Source organism: Homo sapiens, chromosome 4, assembly GCF_000001405.40.
Source record: "Homo sapiens chromosome 4, GRCh38.p14 Primary Assembly".
NCBI lineage: Eukaryota > Metazoa > Chordata > Mammalia > Primates > Hominidae > Homo > Homo sapiens.
In genome coordinates, this window is record NC_000004.12 from 110,472,054 (window position 1) to 110,490,378 (window position 18,325).

The 18,325-nt window shown below is 39.2% G+C and overlaps 1 protein-coding gene across 6 annotated transcripts in view, besides 2 other annotated features; it reads left to right on the plus strand.

Moving 5' to 3' along the window:
* Window positions 696–1,398: an enhancer, noted in NCBI's record as "OCT4-NANOG-H3K27ac hESC enhancer chr4:111393905-111394607 (GRCh37/hg19 assembly coordinates)". NCBI's record gives its function as "activates a minimal SCP1, AML or CMV promoter by ChIP-STARR-seq in naive H9 embryonic stem cells {active_cell/tissue: H9 hESC(naive)}" and the evidence as "EXISTENCE:reporter gene assay evidence [ECO:0000049][PMID:30033119]".
* The window catches only part of ENPEP (glutamyl aminopeptidase), an 89,131-nt gene continuing 74,907 nt past the window's right edge, over window positions 4,102–18,325 (plus strand). For all 6 annotated transcript variants that reach the window (NR_166842.1, NR_166844.1, NM_001977.4 and 3 more), the window contains exons 1-2: window positions 4,102–5,005; window positions 16,488–16,629. Coding sequence is in view for 4 of the 6 variants with exons in the window: in NM_001977.4 (NP_001968.3) it covers window positions 4,362–5,005; window positions 16,488–16,629 (786 nt within the window). In the remaining 2 variants the exon portion in view is untranslated. The remainder of the gene's footprint in view (window positions 5,006–16,487; window positions 16,630–18,325) is intronic.
* Window positions 12,348–12,397: an enhancer, noted in NCBI's record as "active region_21817". NCBI's record gives its function as "activates an Ori minimal core promoter by ATAC-STARR-seq in GM12878 lymphoblastoid cells {active_cell/tissue: GM12878}" and the evidence as "EXISTENCE:reporter gene assay evidence [ECO:0000049][PMID:35858748]".

Below are 18,325 nucleotides of genomic sequence, written 5' to 3' on the forward strand. Positions count from 1 at the left end.
ACTGGTTCGGGCCCTCCTTGTTCCCTATGTATACAGCCTAATTTGCAGATTCTATTTCCTCCATTGTGAATCTAACTTGCCACTTTTTTTTTTTTTGAGACTGAGTCTCGCTCTGTCGCCCAGGCTGGAGTGCAATGGCATGATCTCGGCTCACTGCAACCTCCGACTCCTGGGTTCAAGCAGGATTCTCCCACCTCAGCCTCCCGAGTAGCTGGGATTACAGGCACCCGCCATCATGCCCTGCTAAGTTTTGTATTTTTGTAGAGTCGGGGTTTCACTGTGTTGGCCAGGCTAGTCTTGAACTCCTGACCTCAGGTGATCAGCCTTGAACCATAGCATTCAGCTCAGATCACTGATTAAAGGGCCAGCCAAATAATCACACAGTAGTGTTAATTGCTGACTACATTTCCTGAGATGCTCCTAGTGCCCAGGTGAGCCAGCAGCACATGTTATGGTATGGCTATGGCTTGTTTGTTCCAACGGAAACGCATGTTGAAATCGGATCCCCAGTGGCAGTGTTGTGAGGTGGGGTCTAATGGGAGGTGTTTAGGTCATGACAACTCTACCCTCATGGGTGGCTTGGTGCCCTTCTGTATTCTACAACAGTAAATGAATTCTTGCTCTGGCAAGACTGAATTAGTTCTTGTGGGAATGAATTAGCTCCCGTGAGACTGCGCTGTCATAGAGCCAGGATGCACCTTGGGTTTTGCAACTTTACACGTGTCTGCTTCCCTTTTGACCTTCCCTAACGTTGTAATGGTGTGAAAGCCCTCGCCAGAAGCCAAGCAGGTGCTGGTGCCATGCTTCTTGTGCTTCCTAGCCTACAGAAATGTGAGCTAAGTAATCCTCTTTTCTCTATAAATTACCCAGCCTCAGGTATATGTTATAGCAACAAAAAACAGACTAAGACAGCACCGTGTATACACAGAAGGCCCAATAGCTCTGTAGGATGTGTAATTCCTGGTACCTAATAGAAAAGCTTTAAATGGAAGCTGTAAGTGAAAAAGAGAGGTGCATACTTGGCCTTTGATGTTACAGTGAGTCTCTTGCATCAGTCTACCGCCTATGGGAAGGAATTTGCCAAGAATTTCCTCACCTACTCAAGATCAGATGTGATTTCCAGGTCTTCACCCCAGGGAATGTCTTTCTAGTCTTTTCTGGAATTCGAACAGAGTTTCTCTCAACATTCCTGGCACAGTATGTCTGTTAACCCCTCCCATTCTGGATTATTGTTTTTCCTTCCTCTCCTTGTTCATTTATTTGTTCATTTGTTATTCACTAAGCAATCAATAAACATTTATTGAGTATTGAATAGGGAACAGATATCTATTGAATGTTAAATAAGGAACAGGAGCAGATACTGGAATTTTAGTACTCAAAGTAGATCACGATAATGTATGTATCAAAAGGGATGGAGATTGTCATATAGAACCTACAGTAAACTGTTGTTCTTTCACTCCACTGGCTTGGACCTGATAAGTGGAAATTGACCAGCAGTAGTCGTTTGAAATTATTTATATCCAATGTAGATTCATTCAACGTAAGATTACCCAATATGGTCTATTTAATCTAGGAGGGTGCCTGTGATGGTGCACATGCTGGCCCTTCTACCTCTGCTCATCTGGCTGTATTAGGTCACCCTAATATGCTGATCCTCACAAGATGTGGTGCCCTTCATTGGATGCAGTCAGCTCACACAGGTTGGTACTAATAAGATACTGTGGCTAGAACTGGGCTGTGGACTCAAAACCTACACACACACACACCCCATATGTGGACTTAGGGTATTTTATTTCTTCTGGCAAAAAAAAATGCATTTAAATAGTATATTCATTATGGTAGAATTTCAGGCAGAGTAGTAGAGCTTTTTCATAGCAGGTGGCCATTCTTAATCTTCCTTAAGTGTACCCAACCCAAAGGTCTATTATCTTCTCTGTACATAAGACCTGGTGATAAGATTGTTGTCTTTGTAAATAAGGGCAAGTTTAAGAGATTTCATATATGTTTGCCACAAGGTCAAGTTTAAGAGATTTCAAATGTTTGCCACATCTGAGATTTTAAAAAATACTTCCAGTTTAACATAATTTTATGTACATTCTTCCAAATACTTTTTGCTTTTCCTTTCACTATGTTTAGGTAAATTTGAGCCACATTTTTGCCTTTCATTCCTAAGAAACATATCAAAATATTTGACCCATCAAACATTTATTGAAATGTCAGATGATCTTTTCAATAAAAAGAGGGTTTCAAGGGCTAAAATTCAGGAAGTTAATGTGCCAAACTTAAACATACTGTGATCTCAAGAAGTTTAGGGTTGCTTCAGAATGTAAAATTAATCAATACAAGATGGGCCTACAATTTAGAAAAACATATCCCTTTTTCCTTTAATTCTTTTTCTGTTACTACTATTTTGTGAGAAAAACAGCAGAAATGTTACAGAGTAAAATGGACCCGTTTGCTTTTAAAGTTTTGTTTTTTGTTTGTTTGTTTAGTTTGTAATTTAGAACCGTTTGAAACAACGTTTCTCAGAGTGTGCTCTGTGGAACAGAGGGCCCTCAAAAGGTACCTCACCAGAAAAAGCTGTCTTGTCAACTAAATGGGGAAAGTACTCCGTCGTGTTTCCTCTCTGAGAGGCTCACAATGTGTGTCACCATCTGGAGGCTCTGCAAGAATGGAGAGTAGTAAAAGAAGATTTTTCACTTTAACCCAGCATTGTTTGCTTGGCAAGTAGATCTGTTAATATCCATGGATTGTATCTGGGGAAATACCAAGTTTTTCATAGTTACTTAACCCTTGAATATTTATCCTCCTCAGAGCATGGAAGCAAGCAGTAGAATGCGATCGTTGATATATGGACTTTAATTTTTTTAATTTTATTTATTTATTTATTTATTTTGAGATGGAGTCTTGCTCTGTCACACAGGCTGGAGTACAATGGCACGGTCTCTGCTCACTGCAACCTCCGCCTCCCAGCTTCAAGCAATTCTCCTGCCTCAGCCTCCTGAGTAGCTGGGATTACAGATGTGTTCCACCACGCCTGGCTAATTTTTGTATCTTTAGGAGAGACAGGGTTTCACCACGTTGGCCAGGCTGGTCTCAAACTCCCGACCGCAGGTGATCCACCTGCCTCAGCCTCCCAAAGTGTTGAGATTACAGGCGTGAGCCACCACACCTGGCCAGATATATGGACTTTAGACTCAGACAACGTGGGTTCAAACCCCAGTTCTGCTATTTGCCAGGTGTGTGACCTTGAGCAATAGCTTAACCTCTCTAAATGTCAGTCCATAGCTAAGCTGCCAGTAAATATGAAGTTCATTGAGATTTTTCTTCCTGAGCTTGTCATTCAGAAACAAAATGATAGATTTGCATGGATGATGGATTTCCCAACAGGTCAATTTTCACATCTGGAATCTACTTTAAACGTGCTCTACCACATCAAAGTCTAAGGAAGTCAATCTCACTTGGAGGCACACTGCAGAGACAAGTAGGCCTTCTTCCTTGTCCCTCTGTCCTTTCAGACTTCTCCCCCTCTTGTTCCCTCTCTCTTCTTAAGCTTTCCAGCTCCACTACTGCTTTGGCTAATTTCTTTGGGTTCCCCCTCTCTCATTCACCCAGCACCAGCTGAACTGATTTAGGTTTACCTGGCTATGCTTTCCAAATCTAATTCGACAAATATTTACTGAGTACCTAGGTGGTCCTTGAATCACCCTGAGCACCCAATTCCAGGATATGACTTCTTCAAAGGACAGAATTGGAATGTTTACATAATATGAGGGAAAAAAAATAAAAGAAAACACTTAGCTTCTTTAGCAAGCTATCTGATAAAATAGCTGAAATTCAAGAAGCCCTTTAGTTAGGAGGGAGAGATTGCGAACACAACAGGAAGAAGCCCCAGGCTGAGTGGCAAAGGTTGAGATTTTCTATCGTAAGCACACCTCACCCAAACGCTTGCTCCCTGAAAGCTGCTGACGGAGCTTTGGCGAGGGCTCATCCTCCCGTTGGCTGATAAGCGAAGCCCTGTTTTATATTTAACTCGCTGCAGTGCAGGAGGGGTAGGGGTGGAGATGCGTCGTTTATAAGGGGAGCTGTGACAATCTTCTTGCCAGCCCTCTTCCTCCCACTCGGCTCCTCTTACGGAGTCCTCATTCCACCCCCCTTGTTTCCGCATTCATCCTGAGTGGCTGGTGGGAACGTGAAAAGGGAGAGGAAAAGGCGCAAGAAGCCAGAGAGAGGGGTGTGGGAAAAGCGAAAACAGGCTGCCAAATCAGGGGATTCCTTCCAATTTAAAAAGGAAGTCTGCTGACGTTAGTTAGTTAAATTTAACATCTTTTTATGTGTAACACTTGACTTTGGAAGCAAAAATGAACTTTGCGGAGAGAGAGGGCTCTAAGAGATACTGCATTCAAACGAAACATGTGGCCATTCTCTGTGCGGTGGTGGTGGGTGTAGGATTAATAGTGGGACTTGCCGTGGGCTTGACCAGATCGTGTGACTCCAGCGGGGACGGCGGGCCGGGCACTGCGCCAGCTCCTTCCCACCTGCCTTCTTCCACGGCCAGCCCCTCAGGTCCTCCTGCCCAGGACCAGGACATCTGCCCGGCCAGTGAGGATGAGAGCGGACAGTGGAAAAACTTTCGACTGCCGGACTTCGTCAACCCAGTCCACTACGACCTGCACGTGAAGCCCCTGTTGGAGGAGGACACCTACACGGGCACCGTGAGCATCTCCATCAACCTGAGCGCTCCCACCCGGTACCTGTGGCTGCACCTCCGGGAGACCAGGATCACCCGGCTCCCGGAGCTGAAGAGGCCCTCTGGGGACCAGGTGCAAGTCCGGAGGTGTTTCGAGTACAAAAAGCAGGAGTACGTGGTGGTCGAGGCGGAGGAAGAGCTTACCCCCAGCAGTGGAGATGGCCTGTATCTCCTGACCATGGAGTTCGCCGGCTGGCTGAACGGCTCCCTCGTGGGATTTTATAGAACCACCTACACGGAGAACGGACAAGTCAAGTAAATATTAATTTTTGCTTTACCTCCCTTAAGCTCACATATCTGCTTTCCATTTCTTTTCCTTTCCTTTTCACTTTCCGCTTTTAATTATTTTGTTGGTCTGATATTGATCGGCTCTTGGTTTCAATTCTGGCTGTCCATCTGGGAAGCCAAAATTGTTGCCCTATTGTATTTCCAAACCCTGTCATAAAACTTGAAAGTAGTGAATGAGCTTCGTAGAGTCAAAAGTCAGTGTAAGTCTTTTATTCCATCAGGAGAAATCATAATATACTGCACCCTATCTTGAAGATTTCCATAAATTATCTCAGGTTTGAGAACTGCCTTTGGTAAATTTCACTAGTGATATTCCCAGGCTATGTAGCAATATATATACAGCAATATATATGAACTTTTAAAGTGGTATTACACTAAATTTACGTGAAACATCAGTAAATTTCAGTTATTATTTTGTCCATTTTTTTTTTGTCCAATGTCTCTTTTTTGGAGAAGAGAGACATTGAAAAATCACATGTGATCCACAGAATTGTCTTTGTGTCTTCATCTGGAAAGGAAGACAGGACTGTGTTTTTTTCTGTCTCCGATGGCCAGGACCATGCTTTACACATAGGCTTTCAGGAAATATTCATTGAGTCCACACATCAGTGGCATAGGTAAATTTGGAGGCTTGTTGCTCATGATACAATGTGCAAACATAATGCTAAGCCTTTTACAACATAAAAGATATATTAAGTAGTTAAATACATACAAATATTTGTATACAAATATCTATCTAGATAGATAGGTATTTATTCCACTTTCCCACCTATTTGTCTAGCCTTTGTATTGATCAGTGGCTACTACCAGAGCTATGTTAAAGGCATAAACTCTCTCATTGAACTCCAAAAACTTCCTTCACACTGTGGATGTAGCCCTTGCATCAGGGAGGAAGGCTACACTACACCTTGTGTTGTGTCTGGACTGCTTTGACCTTTGCTGGCTTAGATTCTGAAGAGGTAAATGATTAAGAAAGCTTCTTGTCACAGTTTAGAGATGTGAGTCTTGGGCCAGTCCACCCACAAATATCCCTTTTTTTCTGTTGTTTTAAGCATCTTACAGAGCAAGCAAATTTTTTGGTCAAAATTCTTTCTATTGTTTGTCAGACAGACCCACGGACTAAAACAAAACATTTAAATATTCCTATATTCCTGTGTGGTAAACTGATAAATTGAGTAGAAGTGATAGTTTGAAGAAAATATCTGTAGGGGTCATGCTTATATAGATCTTATATCTTAATACTGCTAGCAAAAAAACACTCTTACCATTTACGTATTTTTTCTGTTCATAAGAATTACATCATTGAAAGCATAAAAATTATCAAAAAGGATAATCAAAATAATCTGTAAAATAATTTCACTGCCCAGTGGTAATCCCTGCTAGCATATTAATGTATATTCTAATGTTTTTCTAGGCAATCAAACCTTTAATTGCATTATATCTGTCTATCTATATGCCTTTTTTACTTAATGTCTTGAGAAGTTCCCCTTATTCTTACATGTTTTCAAGAATCTGTTTTTTGTTCTTTATTGAGACAGGGTCTTGCTATGTTGCCCAGGCTGGTCTTGAACTCCTGGACTCAAGCAATCCTCCTGCCACCACTTCCCAAAGTGCTGGGATTATAGGCATGAGCCACTGCACACAGCCAAGAATCTGATTTTAAAGATGTGAAATATTCCATTGTTTGAATACATTGTAATTTTTTAAAACAAATTATATTGTTGAGCATTTGAGTTGTTTCTAGTATTTTATTATTATAAACAAATCATCAAATAACATACTTCTAAATACCTCTTTGTATGTGCATCTGTTTATTTCCTTAGGTTAGGATATAGTCCTAAAAATAGAATTGCTGGGTCAAAGTGTACAAATATACCAAGATATTGTAATAGTTACTTTGTTTATTGATAACATAAATAATACACGTTTATTGAAGGAAACTCAGAAAACAGAGAAAATTATAGGAAAACATAAATTCATCCATAAATTCTTTACCCAAGTATAGCCATTGTTAACATTTAGGCAGAGACTCTTTTAGTACTTTTCTGGACATAGATAGCTGTGGCATAATTATATTATACATAGTAATGTGTAACATGCTTTTCCAATATAGCATCAATGCTTTAAGATGTCATTTGATGTTCTTCCACAAATGATTCGATGGATACATGGTAGGCCATTGTATGACTACAATGTAGTTGATTCACTTTTCCATTAAATATGAGTATTTAAGTTGCTCCTATTTTTTCACCTATAAGGATCTAGAAGAAGGCGCATCCTTATATTGACTATCCTTGTAAATAACTATTTATGGACATTTTCTAATATTTAAGAAAATTCCTAGAAGATGGGCCAAAACTACCTGTGTATAAATGCATGTATGTCTGTGTATATATGTGTACATGCATATACATATATATGCATGAACATGTGTATGCATGTGTGTGTGTCTCCAAACTGACTTCCAAAAAATATGTCCCAAACTCCATTTCCACCAACAATGTATGAAAGCGACTATTCCTCTGAGCCTTACTAACAATACAATGATTTTTTAAAAGTGTTTGCCAATGGTCGAGGGAAGGGCAATATTCTGAAGAATATCCACCTTAAAGAGATTCTAAAAATTCATTGAAGTGAAAGCGAGTCAAGACTTTTTAAATATTATTGCTAAAACTTTAAAACTGCTTCTTAGATCATAAAGACAAGAGAAATTTTATCTGAATAAAACCATCAAAATATTTATAAAATAATAAAATAAAATTTTACACATATTAGGAAGGCCAAAAATTGGAACTATGTAGTCTCCATTAATAAGTTTCTATTATGTACTTTATAAGTCTAAAAAAAGCATTATATACACAAATACTCTCACTCTTTGAGTTATTTTAGTGTACCAGTTAATTTTGCCATAAAATATATACCAGAGAGCTGCCCTTCTGAAGCTCAGTTGACTTAACTTTTGATTGGAGATTACGAAATGATGGCAACATCGGTGAGGAAGGCTGATGCTCAGTTCAGTTCTCACTGAGGATTGGTGTTCCCAAGTTTGTATGTTTCATTGGGAGCAGTTGAAGCTCTCACATTACAAAAGATGCTGCCAGTTCTGTACTGCACACACATGGTTTTGGAACAGATCTGGCGTCAGCTCAATAACCTCATTTAGGCTAAATGGAATACTTTTTGTTATCCTTGTCTGAAATATTTCAAGCATATGAGAAAAGTGCATCATGCTTTTTTTTCTAGCCTGTGAGTAATATTTTGGCAATGCAGCCTCTAGGAGTTCTCATCCACAGGCTCCATATAAGGGCCACCAGAGGGAGTTCACTGGGGGCAGTGCCTTTCTTTCATACTATAGAGTGAGCTTCGTCATATGTGACGTTTGTATCATTTTAAACGTCATCATAGTAATACATTTGAAGTACGGAGTCAAAATTATATTTTCTGACCTTAACGTAAAATGTAACTCCAGGATTGAGTATTAGTAGTTAGGGATATTAATGTGACAACCACAATGCAAACTAAACAGGATTGCACTCAGTAGTAACCAAAATTACTTAATTTCTGCAAATACAATCAGGACTTTGAGCTTCACAAACTTCACAGCTACCCAAGTTGCTTTCTCTCAAGATTGAGACATGGGGAAGAAAGGGGACAAAATTTAGAATTCCACATTGTCTTTCTGGGGACAGAGTTGTAGTGGGGCGTGGAAGGAGAAAGTTTGAGAAACATCCAGTCGCTTTTCCTTTATCGATCTACCTCTTCCTACTCGCTAGTCTATTCTTCAGGGTCTGAGGAAAACCACTTGGAAGGATTGGAACCTTTGGAATGTTTCTCTGACCACACCCTCCTTCTTCCCATTTTCTCACCGTGTTACGTAGGATTTCCAGCTGTTCCCTTCCCTAAAAGAGTTTCCCTCTACTCAAACTCCAAAGTATATATTTTCTTCTCTCCAAGATTTGGCTTTTCCTTGTCAGCATTTGGATTATGCTTACTTAGCACTTCCCAAAGTATGTACTGCAGAATTCTAGTTGCATGGGGATCTTAGTAGATATTACCAGAAAAATAGCAGGGGAGAGATTCTGTGGCTAAATCAGTTTGTGCAATAATACTAAATACAAAATGATCTGTTTTGGATTTTGTTTTTAATTATGGAACTTTTCAGAGACTTTTTTTTTTTTAAAGAGATGAGATCCAGGCTGGGGTAGAACTCCTGGCTTGAACTCATGAGTTCATGAGTTCAAGTGATCCTCCCACCTCAGCTTTCCGAGTAGCTGGGATTACAGGGTTTTCAGAGGCTTTTATATGATAATGTCCTCTATGTAGTTTCCCAACTCTCTGTGACTATGGATTCTTCTGTGGGGTTCCTAAGAGTAGGGATATATGTCTTTCCTTTACTGTTTGGCACACAGTGAGCACTCAAATATTCTCAAATGGAATAAATGAAAATATTATCATATAAGCTCTCACATGACTAGTATCCTCTGGCAAATGCTGGGACACATTGCATTACCACAGCTTCTCTCCCATAAACGAGCCTAACTTCCACCAATAACATCTCTACATTCCCACTTAGGGTGAAAATTTTCCCTTGGTTCCTTTTCTGCCTACCCTGTGGAAGGGAAGAGTTTATATGTGTATGTATATATATTTGTACTTAGGAATGCAATCTCCGTAGTTTAAAGGCAGAGAAACAGTGGAATTGACAGGAAGTACAACCGGAATTTTAGAGATCATTTCTAGTTTGGGCTGCCAAGGTGTTCTTCGTAGCGCTAGTAGGATTTAAGCTGAATTTTGATGTTCTGGTGGGAGTTCAGCAGCAGAGACAAGTGAGAAACTAAAAGCAGGCAAAAAGGAAAGGCACCAAGTCAGAAAAGCAGAGTGGGGACAAGAAAATTAGTTTGTAGGGGAAGTTTATATGAACAGGCTAGCTAGATATCACTGAGGAAAACCCTTACGGAGGAAAAGGAAAAATAGCCATGATAGGCATTATGAAGGAGAAATTACCCCATGACTTTTTGGATACAGATGGCAAAAGAAAGAGTTAACTCAACCATCCACTTGGATATATGAAAGATATTGCAGCAATCCAGGAAAGAGAAGATAAGGATCAGATAGGAAACGTGATTTCAGGATAGAGAAGAGAGGGCACAGTAGAGAAAATAGTTTGGAGGTAAAGTAGTCAAGATTTGACGATTGCTTGACTATGAGGAAGGGTGAGTTAAAGTTATGGGTCTAGGATACCCCAGCTAGCCTTCACCTCAATTGATATTGGAAATAGGTGGGAAGTAGCCAGGTTAGAAGGGAAGGTCGTAAGTTCAGTGTCAGATGTGTTGATGGCTTGTCAGACATCTAGGAAGAGATGACTAGTAGGCACTTGCATAAGTATGTCTGAAGCACAAGGTTAGAGCTTGTAATAAAGATTTAGGAGTTGAGTGGAAACATCGGTGAGATAATCATCATTAAGTGTGTGTGTGTAATGTATTCTTACCTGCATGGATGTGTATGTATACTCAAGCACATGTAGTTTTGATCTTGAAATTTTTGTCGTATGTCAGTTTGTTCATTATATTCTTAGATTAGTATGCTGAGCTATTATCCCATTGTCAATAAAAATGTCAATAAAGAATAGATTTTAGGTTGGGCGAGGTGGCTCATGCCTGTAATCCCAGCATTTTGGAAGGCTGAGGTGGGCGGATCACCTGAGGTCAGGAGTTCGAGAGCAGCCTGGCTAACATGGTGAAACCCCGCCTCTACTAAAAATACAAAAATTAGCCGGGGGTAGTGGCACATGCCTGTAATCCCAGCTACTCTGGAGGCTGAGGCAGGAGAATTGCTTGAACCCAGGAGGCGGAGGTTGTAGTGAGTCAAGATCGCGCCACTGCACTCTAGCCTGGGTGACAGAGTGAGACTCCATCTCAAACAAACAAAAAAAGAATACATTTTCTTTTTGGTCTTGTTTACTTGTTGCAGGAGGCTAAGTAAATTTCTTTTATTTTGGAAGCAAGAAAACAAAAAGAAATTTTACTTGACCTTGAATATCTTCTACATAGAAAAAAAAAATTGGAAAATAAAGTTAAATAACTAACTGGTTCATTCAAACCACCATAAAAATACATAGAGGTCTGAACAATCTAGAGGGGTTGTTTTTCACCAAGCTGCTCCTCTATGTAATTCTGGAACCCTTTATTTAGTCTATATAGACCCCTAGCAATTGTGACTACCTGTCCCGAATCAGAAGCTCTGTGTTTAAGGATTTCACCCAAAACTTGCTGTTTATTTTGCTGGTTCAACTTATAAAATTGCTCAGCACAGCCAGAGAGTCTTCACTGGAAACAGCATGCCAGATGATTTATGAGATAATTAGGTACCTTTTTTGGTTTTTTTTTTAGAGTCAATTCAGAGTGATCCAAGCCATAACTTGTGCCATCGCCCCTTCTCCCTCAGTTTTCTTAAAGTCACCTTGATCTGATCCACTCAGAGATGCCAGAGAAATGCTCTTCCCTTTTGGAAACGACTAAATTGCATAGACTATCATTTTATTGTGCTAGGTCTAGTAAGTGACTTATTAATGTGGCATAGGGAGGCCCTTGTGGGAAGGTGGTTTACTCCAACACATTTGCCTGGCGCGATAATTATTCAGGACGTACCCACAAGTCACTCCTGAACATATTGTGCTATTAGTCAGCCTTTTTCTCTTAATTTGCAAGACAAGTCATCTGATTTTAATCACTGAATAAAATCTTCCCAAAGAAGTTGTGATCTAGAATTGTTTTGTATTGTTATCTCTTATTCCTTGTTTTCAACTTTGCACACACTTAGAAAAGTTTAGGGCCAACTGATGGAATTTAGGATATATAAAAAGGAGCTTTTGAGTTATTCTGAAGTTCATGAGAAAAAGAACAGGTTACCATTTTAAAAATGCTTACATTGCCTATAGTGTATATACACCAAGTAATTTTGTTCCAGTATATATTGCAGTCAAATGAAAGGATTTGAAATATTTCAGATTGTGAAAGTGCTATGTCAGAAAGCACTAGCATTCTAGATTTATAAGATGTAGAATGAGGTATATCCTAACCACATTATGTAAATTTTAAGGGAGTTTCAAATGTATTACTACATGTAATCTACGCCTTCTCACTTCCCCATAACGCTGTGAGGAGGCTATACATGCTCTGGTGACCAGGTTTTACAGATGAGGACACTAAAAGTCTGGGGTTTTGTGACTTGGTCAAGATCACACTTTAGTAGCTGAAGTGGATTAGAATGTAAGAATGTTTGCTCTTAGAAAAGGGTTTTCCCCATAAAATCATATTGGCTCTGAACTTTAAAAAAGAAAAAGAAAATAAACATTATATAGCTCTTCGGGTTGATGAATGTCACTGTATCTATATCTGGGTCACTGTGATTGAGTTAGACTTGCTGTGACTGACATTTGCTGAGAGGACCACTGAGCTGGGCCAAACACACCGCACAGAGAAATCTCCCACACTGTTCTGTTCCATGTCCGTTGGCAAGCTCAGGAATACGCTAGTTTAGGAAGGTAGTTTTTGCCTACAATCAAGCAGAATGTCTTTTAAAGAGAGAAGGTGAGAAAAGGATTGAAAATTATTTTCTTTCCTGGGATCTTAGGAATATATATTATATATATTATATTATATTTTATATATATATTATATTATATATATATATATTCATATTCTGGCATCCAGCCAAGAGTAAAATAGAGTATTTGAAAACATACCCCATGGCTATAGCTTAGGAAAGTGTAATTCCACTTCCTCCTTCCTCTCACCTCCCACACACGAAGATGTGTGTGGTGCGCGCATGCACGCACGCACACTCACACACACTCATCTTCTCAAATTAGTTAGCTGGCCTATTTCTGAGGTGTGACTCAGAGGAGACATTCTTGCAAGGAGTGACTTTTCCTTTTCCCCTGCCTCTGGAAGACATCAGAAGTCAGAAGAATTCAGAAGGAAAAGGCAGCTGACTAAACATGGGGTTGGAGCTTGGTGGATCTTATAAAACTTTCAAACTCTGGGAAAGTGTACAGGCTTTTTTAGAGTCTGATATACTTGCAATTAACTACAATCTGCAAGATGTTTAGAAACTTCAATTGACTAAACTGTTAATGTCACAAAACTAATCAATGATTGTTCTATTGCAGAATGAATTCTTAACTGAGGCTTTTCTTGGGTAACTTTATTGTGACATAATTTCAGACTCATAGGAAAGTTATAAGAACGGTACTAGGAATTCCTAGAAATACTTAACCTAGATTCACCAATTGTTTACGTTTTAGCCTGTACCCCTTCCCCTTCCTTTCCAGAGCACATGGAAACATCCTCTCCCTTTACCCCTTAACATCAGAGCATATTTCTTAAGCACGGGGGCATTCTCTAAAATAAACATAGTACAGTCATCAAAATCAAGAAATTTAACATTAATACAACTATCTAATTCACAGTCTGTAATAGAATTTTATCAACTAACCTAATGATGTCTTTTTGAATGTTTTTTCCCCCAGTGCAGTACCCAGTCTGGAATGCTGCATTGCACTTAGTGTCATGCCCTTTTAGACTCCTTTAAACTGAAACCAGTCCCTTAGTCCTTCTTTGTCTTTCTAAAGTTAATATTTTTGAAGAATACAGGCTGGCTATTTTGAGAATGTCCCTCAGTTGTAGTTTGTCTGATTTTCCTCATGATTTAAAAATGCAAGTTAAGTTTTTTGTTTTTTTTTTTCTGTCAGGACTATCACAGAAGTGATGTGTCTCTCTCAGGAAATCACATTAGAGACACATTGTGCTGGTTTGAACTATTATTACTGATGCTTCCTTTGATAGCTTGCTTAAGGTAGTGTCCACCAAGCGTCTCCATTGTAAAGTTACAAGGTTTCTCTTTAGGTAACTTTCAGGGAGTTTTTGAAACCTTGCAAATATCCCTTCCTCACCAAACTTTCACCCCCTGGATTTGGCATCCACTGATGATTTTTTAAAATAATTTTTTCCTTCAAATATTATTAGTAGGCAATCTACTGGAAGGAATAACTTTCCCTTCTCACCCATTTATTTATTCATTTTAAAAAATCAGAGTAAGGACTCAGAGATTGTTAATTTGTTCAATGAGTTATTATCCCGTTGTTTATTGTGATGTTCCAATACTCCCATAATTTGCCAAAGGCAGTCAAATCCTTGGCTGTAGTAAGTCCTTGAATCAAAATAAAATGCACGCTCTTCTCATGATCTCTGATATTTTCCTGATCTGGCCTCTGCTGACCTCATGTCAAACTTATCTCTGGCTCCAGTCCGTCTGGTTCAGTGTTCTTTAGCCACACTGGACACCTTTCAATTCTTCAACCACAGCAGGTTCTTTTTCATCTTAGGGACTTTGCACTTACGGTTCCTTCTACTTGAACATGTTTCCCTGAACCTCCACTTGCCTGGCTTTTTCTCATTATTCAGATCTCGGCAAACCAAGAGATTGTGACCACTCTACCTAATGTTGTTTACCACTTTTCCTAGTCATTCTCTGTCTCTTCCAGTGTTTTATTTTCTATGTAGCTGTCATCACTCTCCTAAGTTATTTATTTATTTGTGTGTCTCTTGTCTAACACTCTGTAAGCAGTCTGGAATCTTATCTATACATGTAACTGCCCAGTGGGTTCACCTTGCCCGCTGCCTAGACAGAGCCGATTTATCAAGATGGGGGGAATTGAAATGGAGAAAGAGTAATTCACACAGATCCGGCTGTGCAGGAGACTGGAATTTTATTATTACTCAACTTTGTCTCCCCGAACATTTGGGGATCAGAGTTTTTAAGATAATTTGGCGGGTAGGGGCTTGGGAAGTGGGGAGTGCTGATTGGTCAAGTTGGAGATGGAGTCATAGAGGGTCGAAGTGAGTTTTTCTTGCTGTTTTCTGTTCCTGGGTGGGATGGCAGAACTGGTTGAGCCAGATACTGGTCTGGGTGGTGTCAGCTGATCCATCAAGTACGGAGTCTGCAAAATATCTCAAGCATTAATCTTAGGTTTTACAGTAGTAATGTTATCCCCCATGAGGAATTTGTGGAGGTTGAGACTCTTGCAGCCAGAGGCTGCATGACCCCTAAACTGTAATTTCTAATCTTGTAGCTAATTTGTTAGTCCTGCAAAGGCAGACTGGTCCCCAGGGAAGAAGGAGGTCTTTTCAGGAAAGTGCTATTATCAATTTTGTTTCAGAGTCAAACCATAAACTGAATTCCTTCCCAAAATTAGTTCGGCCTATGCTCAGGAATGAACAAGTGCAGCTTAAAGGTTAAAAGCAAGATGGAGTCAGTTAGGTCTGACTTTTTTCACTGTCATAATTTCCTCTGTTATAATTTTGCAAAGGCGGTTTCATACAGCAGCTAGAAAAATGTCTGCAAATGTGTGCATGCATGCATAGGTGCTTGTGTGCGCACGTGTGTGTGTGTGGAAGGGACTCAATTAATGTTTCTTGGATGAATGGATGATATAATAATTTAGCCTGATATTCTTTATGATATGTCTTTCTTAGTTTCCAGAATCCTGAAGGACAAAATTTTTGTTTGTACAAATTATTAATGAATGGAAATTACCATTTCTTTACTTTTATACTTTTTACTTTGCTTCATTTTCTAATAAGCCAATATACAATATTCTTTTACTGTAATATGTTTACATGTAAAAAGTGTATGCTATTGATTTTTTTGAGCAATTACTCAGAAAATAATATTTTCACCTTGAAATTATGAAAATACTAAACATTAACATTTTAGTTTACACCAGCATATGCCTAGTTAGAGCCATAAAAAAAAATGCTGCTCTCTCTTTTTAAGAGTGAGCTTTAAACTAGGACAAAGGTTACTTCACCTAGGAGATTACTCAGCACTGCCTTTACATGAAAATGAAACTGGGGGTTTTGTCCCTGTTGTAACATAAATAACAAAGAATGTGCCATTAGGGACAGGGACTGGGGACTCTGGAATAACCTCCACTCTGTGACAGAAGACAGCTGTTCACTTCCCATAAGGGCAGTTAGACACAAGCTTTTAAGTTTGGCTTTGTGTTTATCTACTTGTTGCTCAATGGGCTTGGGGTGGAGAGAGTACTAGCTCATAATTGGATTTATTTTTGCTCCTCCACAGAGTTTTAGTTATGGCACCAAAATAGCTGTTAGGTTGATGCAAAAGTAACTGTGGTTTTTGACAAATAAATATGTGAATGAAATATCTGAAGCAATCTGACTCAGAATTTTTTAAAAATTTGTTAAGCTAAAAATTCCAGGAAAACCTTTGACAAATATTTGATAGTCTTCTAGATGGAACCTCATTTTTAGAAATGTAATAGTTATAATTGCATAGCTGATTTTTTTTTCCCCTAGGAATAGAGACATAGGGGTTGTCAGAAGAGGCAGCATGCATTTCGTTTGTTTGTTTGTTTGTTTCTAAGGAGCATAGTGGCCACCGATCATGAACCAACAGATGCCAGGAAATCTTTTCCTTGTTTTGATGAGCCCAACAAAAAGGCAACTTATACAATATCTATCACCCATCCCAAAGAATACGGAGCACTTTCAAATATGCCAGTGGCGGTAAGTATTTTTTAAATGTTTTGTTTATGCAGAGAGTCTGTTGACAACATTAGGCCAGTTACCTGATTTTCTGTGAAAGAGAACCCATTGAATTCTAAAACTAAATGTGCACTAATAGTTTATTTAGCTGAGTGAAATACATTTTGGCAATCTTTTTCTTTGAGTCCTAGAAGTCTGTAAGGTATCACAGTCCAGTAAGAAAGCCAGATTGGTGTTTCTGTGCAAGAGACAATGCCATAGACACACACATCAGCTTGGGCTCTGCTTAGCTGCCAGGATCCCTGAGTCGTGACAGATTACAGTAATGGCAAACTAATGGAATTACAGACTTGAAAATATTTGAGGGCTACTCACTATTTAGTTTTCAGGTGAATATAAATCCAGTTTTTGTTTTGTTTTTTTGAAAAAGATAAAGCTACTATTTAAAAAAATCATCACTTAAATAGTGGGTTGTGGAAGCAAACTCCAGGGAACACTTTGCCCATAGACTCCTTTGGTGAGTGGGAAGTGCTTGTTAAATGTCTGGAGAAAAAAAAAAAACAGGCTATAAAAAAGGATGAGTTCATGTCCTTTGCATGAACGTGGATGAAGCTGGAAACCATCATTCTCAGCAAACTAACACAGGAACAGAAAACCAAACACCGCATGTTCTCACTCGTAAGTGGAAATTGAACAACAAGAACACATGGACACAAGGAGGGGAACATCAACACCAAGGCCTGTCAAGGGGTGGGGGGCTAGGGGAGCGACAGCATTTGGAGAAATACCTAACGTAGATGACAGGTTGATGGGTGCAGCAAACCACAGTGGCACGTGTATACCTATGTAACAAACCTGCACATTCTGCACATGTATCCCAGAACTTAAAGTGTAATAAACAAATAAATAAATAAATAAAATTAAAAAAAGAAAAAAGAGAAAAAATTTTAAAAGGCTGATAATTTCTGCTGTATAAATTATTTGTTAACATAAAACACTTCTCTCTGTTATTTTGTCTCATCCCTATAATGGATAATGTTGTTACCTAGAGTTTCATTGCCTCAAAGTTGAGGTTTACATACTTTACACATTCGACATGTAAAAGGGTCAGCCTCATCTTTAGGTATAATAATCAGAAGGACACCAGCCCCAAATTATGTCTCCCATCTTTCTGATCCACTATTTGAAATATTGTCATTAAAATTCATCTTTTTAAATGATAAAATATTCCTTGAAAAAGCAACAACAAAATAAAGCAAATAAACACTTAAGAGGATTAAAATATACTCTTAGCAGCCATCCATGCCTCAGTGAGAATTAATTATCAATTTGTTTTCTTCTAAGGTTTGATTGGAGAAGAAAGAGGAAAGGATAAACTTAAAGTATGACACACCAATCTAGATGAAGGTGGGGGGAAAAAATGGCAAAGTCACCAACTTCTGCTTAAGAACTTCCCTTATGGCCTTTTCACTGTGCAGAGTTACACTTTACCTTCTACTAGATCCAGATAGTAGTCCTGGAAGAAGGAGAATATTCTGGGTTCTTAGGCCATCAAAACTAACACTACTAGGTTTTTATGGTAGAGTAATGTAGCCTGGAGCCCCACCACGATTATACAAGGGCATGCACACCCGTGCTTGAAGTGTCAGCCGCACCCATTCTAATCCAGCCTCCCTCGCTTAATCTCTTTTTAAACCATCCCAAATAGAGTGGCTGC